At 38.4% G+C, this 10,910-nt stretch overlaps 1 protein-coding gene across 6 annotated transcripts in view; it reads right to left on the minus strand.

The window, feature by feature from the left end:
• Nucleotides 1-10,411, minus strand: part of NAA11 (N-alpha-acetyltransferase 11, NatA catalytic subunit) — a 170,686-nt gene extending 160,275 nt beyond the window's left edge. For 5 of the 6 annotated variants that reach the window (XR_001741340.2, XR_001741339.2, XM_017008779.2 and 2 more), the window contains exon 1: nt 9,526-10,411. Coding sequence is in view for 4 of the 6 variants with exons in the window: in XM_017008779.2 (XP_016864268.1) it covers nt 9,538-10,227 (690 nt within the window). In the remaining 2 variants the exon portion in view is untranslated. Of the gene's footprint in view, nt 1-996; nt 2,142-9,525 lie in introns of those variants that run through there. The other variant, NM_032693.3, reaches the window with a different exon arrangement.
• Between the last annotated feature and the right edge of the window lie 499 nt (nt 10,412-10,910).

Here is a 10,910-nt window from a genome sequence, read left to right on the forward strand (position 1 = left end):
ACTGTGCCTCAGTAAAAAGTCCCTTCAGAATTAAAAAAAAAAAAATCACTTTTCCTGTGTAAAAAGAACAATGCTATTACAAAAAAAATGGTGCCACAGACTCTCACAATTTGTGTTTCAAAAAGCCACTGCTGCTGCTAAATCACCGCTACTGTCCTGGAACCATTATGAACATGCTAATCTATGCCCAAAGCAATATTAGTATTATTGTTTATTTTATTTTCATTATAGCCCAAACCAGATAGGCTGCTATAATTCTGCTTTCTCCTGGTACGAGACTGGGAAAGAAGATATAATGATAACAAAGAAATGCCAATTGTTTTAGTAAATAACACTGCAGAAGTCATATATCATTTCCCATTTTCCAATTGCTCCAACTCCTATCAAGTTACTAGAGACAGCAAGTCAATGTGCCTGGTGCTGGAAAAAAATCATTCAGGTAAGCTGAGGCTACTCCTTCTGTTTCTCCATCTGCTAAGCTGTTAACACAAAGACATATTGACAAAAGCTCAAGGAAAACATGGAATACTTCATCAGTAAGATTATGCTGCCCTAGAGACAGATGTTAGAAAGCTGTAATATTTAAAAATAAAGAGATAAACACATGGTTGAGAGGAAAGAATAAAATAATTTAGCGTTGAGATAGAATATTAAAAAGAAAAAAGGAAAAGATGGAAAGATAGATTTTATCATACTGTATTGGCACAAGAAATGGCAAATCCTTTCATGTAGGGAAAAACTTTTATATCTGCCTCAGGCAATCATTTACCATTAGGCAGACATTCTTAGAGTGCACTAGGGTAGATCTGTAAGAACTGCTTAGCAGGGCTAATTACGATTACACAGAAAAGACTTACCTCTTGTCACCAGATAAAGTCCAGGCTTTGACTTAAATCCATACACACCAGTTTTCATAAAAGTTTAAACATGAAAAATGTTATATACTTTGGTAATTCACATTCAGTGAACATAAAAACAACATTAAGTAATGATAACTCTGGATTTATCTGGTAACTTTTACTGCAGAGGTCAAGGTACTTTGTCTTCACTTATTTTTACTAGAGAAAAATAATAAAAATAGATTATAATTGTAGGTTATATAAATATTTACAATTGACATACAGTAGCCATGTATTAAGCAAACACATTTTTAAACAGCAGATTCTCCATTTTTGCTAAAATTTTAACACATTTATAAATAAAATGCAAAGAGTAGGAACAGAAAAGTAGAAGGAACTTTGGCTTTGAATTCAAACAGAATTGGGTTCAGATCCAGGATATTTAATTCACTTCTCTGAGCTTCAGTTTCCTCATCTGTAAAACAGGGATAATACTACCTACTTTACAGGGTTGCTGAGAGGGTTAAATATGTAACTAATGAAGGCTCCAGCATTGTGTGTGAACACTGCAGGTACTCAATAAATGCCAAGTGACATAATCACAAAAAAACTAACACAAACAAGCACATTAGAGATTCCAATTTAATTACCGTTTGTCCTTTTCTTAAAATCTCCAAGTTCTGATTGTACAGTAGAAGCTCCTAACTTAACACCTTTTCCCACTGGGAAGGTGATGCCCTCCTCCTCAAAAAAAAGGGAGGGGGGAATAGTATAAAGGAGGAGTTACCAGAGAAAGGAAAAGGAAACTGAATACTTCTTCCAGGAAAGAGGAGGAAGAGGGCATGAGGTCTGACTTCATGGTCCTGACTACTTCACCTCCTCAAGGATGAAAACTCAGGTAAATAATGGTTAAAAAACAAAAACAAAAACTGAAAGCTGGAAATCTTCAAGAGTTTGCCCTGCTTCCTGTTCATCATTCTAAAAGGAGAAAAACTTGCAGGATAACCACACCCAACAGAGGACTACTACAAACAGAATAAAATGGCAGCGTAGTGTGAGTAGGCCAAGAAAGGTTCTGTAATGGCAGGTCTCAAAGTTCCTTGGCTGTTGTGCAGTGGCTCTTGTGTCCAGGTATTCCTTCATGATCCCAGCAGGATATGTGAAAGGTGGTTGTTTATAGAGTTAAGAGTGAGAAGCCATTCTGGTCACTGTGAGATGATCCCCACAGCAGATGCTGCAGAGCAGACAGACTAAGCCAGGGTTCACAGAGTAGATGTGGTTGAGACATGAGGACCTGAAATGCTGTTGAAAAATGAGAAGAAAACAAATGAGAAAGGGAGAGCTATAAGCTCTGACAGCTCTGAAAGAATACTGGTTTAGTTAATGATAGACTGGAACAGCAGATAAAGAAACCCAGTAACTAGTTTGGACTAGATATATCTCCATGGCAGTCAGTGAGAATTCAGATGACTGCACAAAGACCACACACAGATCTGGGGCTCTCTCCCCTCCCTGCCATAAGAACACATGAACCTTTCCTGACATCTAAAGGACATTTCTGCCAGGAGAAAGGGACAGGAAGAACACCAAAAAACTGGGATTTACCCCCAAAGAACCTATTTTAAAACTAAAGAAACTGAGATCATTTTGCTTGTCATCTTTAAATTCTATCTCATCCTACTCCACTCAAAAGAAAATTTATTCCAATTCTAAAGAAATGAAAGGCCTTTTTAGCTCTTGATAAGTTAGATGCAATGTGTCCAACTCTATAAGTCATATTTTCTTTCTGAGGCCTGGACAGGAAACCAAAATAACCATAATGTTTCTTTATTCACAAATTAAAGTGCCCTAATTACATCAGGTAAGAGGAAGTAGGTAATTATATCAGGTAAGAGGAATCATACATACATTATTTTTCTCTCCTTTAAAAAAATTTATTATATGGGTAATTTGAGAGGTCCATTCATTCATTCATTCAATAAATATTTACTCAGTACCTTTTCATCTATCATATGCACACAGAAGTAAATAAGATTGAGGCTGACTATTATGCACAGAGCAGTTAAAAAGCATTTTTGTACAAAATCATTGTTATAGAAAATTCTGTTGCCAGAATAACAAGTGAAGCCAGTTGTAAGAGGTAATACTATGTAAAATCTTATTTTTTAAAGTATATTTGCTATAACAAAAGAGACACAAGATATGGAGGAACAGGTCAGAAAGACTATCATCATTGCCTTTTTCATTTTTGCATGAACAGGCATGCAAAAGAAGTTATATAGCTGTTTTAGTTATCTCAGTAAATACTGCTTGAAAATTTTAAGAAATTAAACTGAAAAAGTCAAATAACACTGTAATAAAGGCTATAGGATAGTTTGTTGTTTAAGAGTATAGGTATTTTTCATAAAGATTCCCTTTAAAATGTTAGTATTATAGTCCTTTTTTTGAGACAGGGTCTTGCTCTGTCACCCAGACTGGAGCACAGTGGTACAATCATGGCTCACAAGAGCCTCAAACTCCTGGGCACAAGTGATCCTCCAGCCTCAGCCTCCTGAGTAGCTAGGACTACAAGCACGCACCAGTATACACCACCACGCTGGCTAATGTTTTTTAGTTTTTGTAGAGACTAGGTCTTGCTATGTTTTCAAGGCTGGTCTTGAACTCCTGGCCTCATGCAAAGCTCCCGCCTTGGCCTCCTAAAGTGCTGGGATTACAGGCATGAGCCGCTGTGCCCACCCCAAGCCCTTAATGTCTTGCTTATTAAGTTCAAAGTTTTACATTATCAGGTTTTCTTAAAGGTGGGCTATGGAAGCCTGACAAATACATGCTATTTGTCGATATGGTGTTATAAACATGAAACAGAATACTATGGCTTTACTTTAAAAAAAAATCCTATAATTTTCCAAAGATATTTATCTATAGAAATGGCATTGTAGAATATTTTCAGAAAGGCTTTTATGGTGGCTCTTTGAATCATTGCCCATTCAAAGAATTTTAAATATTCTATCTAACCTCCTGTACCATAAAGCCCATTGGATTTCATATACTAGAGCATAGAGTACAAAATTTAGGAAAAACCTCTGCTTTTATCAGTTACTTCTGACAAAGTTGGTATTTCAGTCATCCTACATGTACATCATACACTGATTGAAAGGTGACATTGTTAGAGATTATAAATAATTCAACAAATGGCATCTATCTGATTAGTATTTCAAAACAATATTTTATCTCTTCCCAACCCCCTCTTTATCTTCATAGAGTGCAGTTGCATTTGAAATCTATGGTTTCTGGCATATCTGGGGTAAGGTTATACTACGAATTTACCAGACCTGTCAGTCTGTAGGTTTCTTCCATATTTCATTATATCATTCCAGTTATAATTAGTTGTCTGGTAAAATTAAGAACAGTCTATTTCAGTGACTGCTCATGTGAACATTTAACAACTTTTTGTTAGAATGACAGTTTAGCGACACAAAGAATAAACCAGAAAGGGAGAGTCACTGAAGTAACCTTACTTAACTCAATGTTGCCAGCTCAATTGAAAACACTAAGATTTTGCATTTTTTTCATTTTTGTTATTAATAATCAAGCACATATTTCTTGTCAAGAGATAAGCAGCAGTTTGATGACATTCCTGCCTCAACCAGCATGTTTTGAACTGACCTGTCTTCATTGCTATGGCTCCCAAGAAACTCTGCCGTTGACAAGCGTTGATTCAGCTGAATGCTTTGACATTTAGCTTGTCAGTGAAAGCTATTTTAATCATTAAGATGCATTTCCCATCCAAGATTGCAAACTGTTGCTGCTCATACACAACATTCTATCATTTGATTACCGTGGAGAAGAAGAGAACCTGAAAAGTTACTCTTACTATCGATTATATTAAGAGCTAAAATTTATTGATTATTTTACTGTGTGTGAGGAGTTGTGCTTAGCAATTTACATAGATTGACTCATTTAATCTTCTCAATCATGGAGTCTGACCACCTGAGTTTGCATCCTTGTTTTCCACTATCTGTATAACATGCAGCCCTCCCTGTGACATGATTTCCTCAACCACAAAATGGAGTAATAGTACCTACCTCACAGGCTTATTATGAGGAATAAATGAAACACATCATTAACAGTGCTTAGAATTAATACCTGCAAAACAGTGCGTTTTCATAGTGTGAAGAGCAATTTTTATTACCATTTTTTAGATGAAATCAACCAGTTCTTCACCAACTGTCCTGCTCAGCATCACTTCTAACTCTGTCTCTGTTCCCAAATCCAAAAGTACAGATAGGGAAAATGAAAAATATTTTTTTTAGGACATTTTTTCTATAGGTATTTGAACTCCAGCTCCACAGGAGGGAGCACCACAATTGTAGAAGGATAGTACTTTTGCAGTATGAGCCTTTTAAATGTTTTTCCTGTTCTTTCTTTCTTCACTGTAGCCTTTCTCCATTCAGGGAGCTAGACCTATGTGCTGGTGAATCCCTATTAAATGGGATGCAAGTGAAGATTTAGACAGTTTTGGGGACTTCAGAGGAGAGGGGTCATTTGTCCCAGGTTTAATTAGTGGCATAATGGCAGCAAGATAACAGAATCCCATAGTTTTCCACGCCCAAGTTTGTGAAGCAGCAGAATAAATATATGTCAGGTGTTTATGTAGACAACCTCAGACAGCCTAACAGAGTTCCCTGGGCCATGCCATGGAGTGAGAGCAGCTGTATGATCCCATTGCTTCTAACTGGGCATGGAAGCAAAACTTCTCAAAGTCCAGAGCACCACTAGGATGTTTCCTATTGTGGCAGAAACTATGCTGTGTTGTTGCTGAACTCCTTCCTTTCTTTCCTGAGCACAAAGCTAAACTAAATATCATAGCCTCCCCTGCAGTTAGTTGGGTAAGACTTGACTTTTAAAACCTTTATTAACCACTATATACATTCTTTTCTCTCATCTGCTAGTTGAATGTATATGAACCAGTTGAAGGTCTTATGATCCTAGAAAATGACAAGAGTCATTGAATTAGGAGTTCTTAACCTGGGATCTATTTAATAAGATGTAGGAGAACCATGACCTTGGATTTGGAACAAAAACAATTCTGTATTTTCATCAACCTCTAACTGAAATCTGGCAATTCTTTAAATTATGAACATAGGAATCAATGCACAGTAGTATTAGCAATACTTGAGACTTTGTCACCAATAAAACTCATAGGTATTTTCATATCACATTATAGATACTTAAGGTATCTTAAATATCATTTATACTAAAATTTACTTTGAAATAATAGTAATTATTAGGCTATTCAATATGCTAACACAAAGCACATATATTACAACAAAAGTATTTTTAAAATAGTTTGATAACTATATCAATGAAATTGTTTTCCTTTGTAATCTGGTATAATTTTTACATCTTTTAAAAATTTTTCTGCTTCACCAGATTGCCAAAGGGAGCTACAGAAAATTAAGAATCCCTGTCTAAATGATCCCTGAATGATACCATGGAGTAGGGTCCATCTTTTCCCCTCTACTCCACATCACCACCACACTGATGACCCACATTGTACTATGATGTGAGAAATAAGATTTTATTGGGTTAAGTTACTGAGATTTGGAAGTTAATTTTTAGAGCAGTTAGCCTGTGCAGACTAATACTCATATACCCTTGCTACCAAAATGGTAAGAGACCTCCGGTTGGAAAAGACCCAGAAGTGAATCCTGAGGATCAAAGATTGGATGGGGCCATTGAATATGTCTCAGCAGATAACAACTCAGAAAGACGGTGAAGCTCAGTCTAGGAAACATTTCCTTCAACTTAGAAATAAAGTTCAATTACGGTATCATAAAGAAACAGTTCAATTATTCTTGAATTTGTATGCTGAAATTTATAACTGTGACACAACAATGAATTTTCTTATTTATTATTTCTCTCTTCTTTTACTACAGTGGCAGTTATTTTGTTTCTCATAGCAGATATTAAGTGCTTTTGAATTCATCAGTTTTATAGGTGTGTGTGTGTGTGTGTGTATATATATATATATGGTTTTAAAACAACCTCTGATTAGCTCTGTTCTCAGCTAGAGTTTAACAATGAAGAGAAGCAAATAACTACAAAGATGAGATCAATACTGTGTAAGTCCTTCTACGAAGGAATTTGAAAGTTGAAATTTTTTTTAAAAGGTTTGTGCATTCAAAGAGTCTTGAGAGAGCCCTCCAGGGTTTTCAAGACAGGTGTAAATTTGACAACGCTTTCTCAAGGCATCAAGTTTTAATTTCATCTTTGCTTTTAGACTGTTCTGCCGGCTTTATTTTTTAGAAAAAATGAATCAGTCACTGTGAAACTTTCAGGTTATTAAAAGTCAGATGCAAAATCTCCTCTGAGGACAGATTCTTTCTAACCACCAAAGACTTACTGTATCTAAATTTTTATAACATACTGAACTGTAACTGAATGAAAATAAAATGGGATTAGTGTGTTATAGCTTCGGTTTTGGCATTAAAATGCAAAAAAAAAGTCCATTTATTCTTAAATGCTATATAATATAAACATCAGTCTGTCTTGATCACTGCTGTATACTCAGCTCCAAGCCTAATGCCTGACAAATATTTTTATGAATGAGTAGACTAATCAAATAGCACTTACTGAAATTATATACAGAATACACTATTTATGACTAGACTTTGCCATGAGAAGTTGCTGCCTTTCATACATGTAAGGGTAAGGTGACTAGATTAAGATGTTAAAGCCTGTAAACTGCCAGTAGCTCACCGACCCTTGAAATTCCTAAGGCGATACAAAGTCCTTTGATGGAAGAAATACTGTGGTATATTATTACAATTAAGTTGTTTCTAACATACCAATCCTTTAAAACTTAGTTTCAGTGGTTTCTTAGTATTAGCATAAGTGTGTATTAAGAAGTACAAGAGCTGGGCGCGGTGGCTCACGCCTGTAATCGCAGCACTTTGGGGGGCTGAGGCAGGCAGATCACAAGGTCAGGAGTTCGAGACCAGCCTGGCCAATATGCTGAAACTCTGTCTCTACTAAAAATACAAAAATTAGGCCGGGCACGGTGGCTCATGCCTGTAACCCCAGCACTTTGGGAGGCCGAGGCGGACGCATCACGAGGTCAGGAGATCAAGACCATCCTGGCTAACACAGTGAAACCCCGTCTCTACTAAAAATACAAAAAAATTAGCCAGGCGTGGTGGCAGGCGCCTGTAGTCCCAGCTACTCGGGAGGCTGAGGCAGCGGAATGGCGTGAACCCGGGAGGCGGAGCTTGCAGTGAGCCAAGACAGTGCCACGGCACTCCAGCCTCGGCGACAGAGCTAGACTCCATCTCAAAAAAAGAAAAAAAGATACAAAAATACAAAAATTAGCCAGGCGAGGTGGCGGGCGCCTGTAGTCCCAGTTACTTGGGAGGCTGAGGCAGGAGAATAGCTTGAACCCAGGACGTGGAGGTTGCAGTGAGCCGAGATCGCGCCACTGCACTCCAGCCTGGGCGACAGAACGAGACTCTGTCTCAAAAAAAAAAAAAAAAAGTACAGTAATTGTTTTGGCTCTTTAACTTTTCATGCTAATTTTCACACATTCGAAAGAGTAAATGGCATAAGGAACCCCCTAAGTACCCATTTCCCAACCCAACAATTATCATTGCCATTCTTATTTCATTTTCCCTCTTTCAATCTTTTTCTTCTTTTTTTGCTGGATTATTTTAAAGGAAATCCTAGGCATCCTATTATTTCAGCTATAATTATTTCTGTATGTATCTTTAACAGATAAGGACTTTCTAAACATAATACAATACCATTTAGCTCCTCTAATAAAATTATTAGTAATTCCTTAATATAGTCCCCGTTCAAATTTTGCCTGATTATCTCAAAAATGTCTTATACATGGTTTGTTTGAATCAGTATCCAAACAATGTCCATAGCAGTTGAGTTTAATGTATCTGTAAAGTTTAACAGAAAATGCTTCATCTTTTTTTGTGTGTGTGCCATTTATTTGTTGAAGAAACCAGGTCATTTGTTTTGTAAAAACCTCTCATTCTGGATTTGGCTGTTTGCATCATGGTATAGTTTAACAAGTCCCTCTATTTTCTGTAAAATGGTAGTCAGATCTCATAATTTTCTTTTGGAAAGAATATTTCATAGGTAGTACTGTGCACTTCCTGTTGCATAAGGAGACACATATTTGTCTCCACGTTTAGTGAAGACTGACTACACTGACTTCAAGTGTTGTCAGTCTGATCCATCATTACAAAGTGCTCCAACTTTTACCTAATGCTATTAGCCATTGATGACTCTTGGCTGGGTCCATTATTTCATCAAGAGTTGGAAAATGATGATTTTATATTTCTATCATTATTACTAACTGGAATTCCATAAAGAAAAAAATGCCTTTCATCAACTACGTGGTTACCCTGAAATACAACTCATGCCCAAAAAGCAGGATAAATGCTTGTTTCTTCATTGAAATTAATCTACTTTCAGCATGAGCTGGTATCCTATTTAACTTCCAATAGCGTGTAATGAGTCTCCCTCAACTCACTCTAACTTCTCCCTAAGGTCACCAGGTGGTTTTTACCGTAAAATCTCGCAGGGCCAGAATGGGGTAAGACAGGATGGAATTGGGCAGGCCAAGGCAGGATGCAGGGATTTAGGAGAAGGGGGTACTGGGTCAGGGAAGACAGAATACCTTAAGCATGCTCTAGGAGGTGGAATCCGAGCTTTCTGAGCTGTCCTGGACGTTGGTGCTCTCCACAGACTCCTTAGGTTCTTTGCTGTCACTGCCACTTTCTTCGGTAGCCGGGTTCTTTTGCTGACAGGCCTCTTCAGAATCAGAAAGTGTGCTGCCCTGGGTCTCCTGGTTCTCCCTGGAGCCCAGGACCACATACCCGCCCTTCTTCAGGTCCATTTGTCGTCTCAGCTCATCTGCCATCTGCGAGAGATCCCGCTTCATAGCATAAGCATCTTCCCCATCTGCATAGTATTTAGGTTCCACCTCACTAATCTGAAAGTTGAGGGTGTTAGAATAAAGGTGCAAGGCTGGCCGGTTACTCTTCCTGACGTGCAGAGACACGTATTTGGCGTTAAAGTTCTCTATCATGGCCCTGGAGGCCTGGTCCATCAGCTTCTGGGCCAGGCCGAGGCGCCGGTGTGAACGCTTCACGGCCAGTGAGGTGATATGGCCATGCGGGACATCATCTGGTTCCTCCTCCATTTTGGCCAGAACATAGCCCACAATCTTCCCGTCCTCATCCTCAGCGATGTAAGAAAGCTGGGGCCAGGAAAGGCCATGATATAAATAGTATTTCATCTGGTAGTTCTCAGGAAGGCAAAGGAGGTTGCAGTGTTGCATATTCATCAGGTCGTCTGGCTGAGCGTTGCGGATGTTCATAATGGCAGAGGGTAGGGAACCGGTTGGACTGCAGTGAACCCAGAAGAGGCTGTCGCCGACCTTAAGGGGCACTGTTTGCCTCAGGAATCGAGTCCAGGGGGCTAACACCACCGGGCTGAATCGTGTGGAGGGCGGATGGCGGGAAGGCGGAAGGAGCAGGAGATGGAAAAGATGGTGCCAAACTGCGGCTTTCAGAAGTGCGTCACTGATCCCAGCCAATGAGGTTTCGCTTCATTGTGCGTGTGCGTGCGCAGGGGTTAGGGGGTGGGGAGAGAGGAGTTCATTGTGGTCGCCTTTGTTTTAAATAACGCGATCCATTGCAATTATTATTTTTGTTTCAGTTTTAACTTTTTGATTTGGGTACATCTGAATAAATTTTCACAAACTGGAGAAACCCATATAACAGGAACTTAGAGAAAATAAAGAACATTGTATCCCAGAACCCCCCCTCCTGTCCCCTTCCAGTACCTGCTTCCAACATCCCAAGAATAACGATTACCTAGACTTCCGACAGACTTTATATAAATGGAATCATAGTGCATGCATTATTTTTGTGTCAGGTTTTTTCAGTCACTCTTTGTAAGTTTCAGCCACCTCGTGTATAGCTGAGGGTTCTTTATATTCTTCCTTGTTTGATATTCTATTGCCTAAATATGTCACAATTTTTTTTATCAATTCTACTG

Source organism: Homo sapiens, chromosome 4 (genome assembly GCF_000001405.40).
Source record: "Homo sapiens chromosome 4, GRCh38.p14 Primary Assembly".
Classification (NCBI taxonomy): domain Eukaryota; kingdom Metazoa; phylum Chordata; class Mammalia; order Primates; family Hominidae; genus Homo; species Homo sapiens.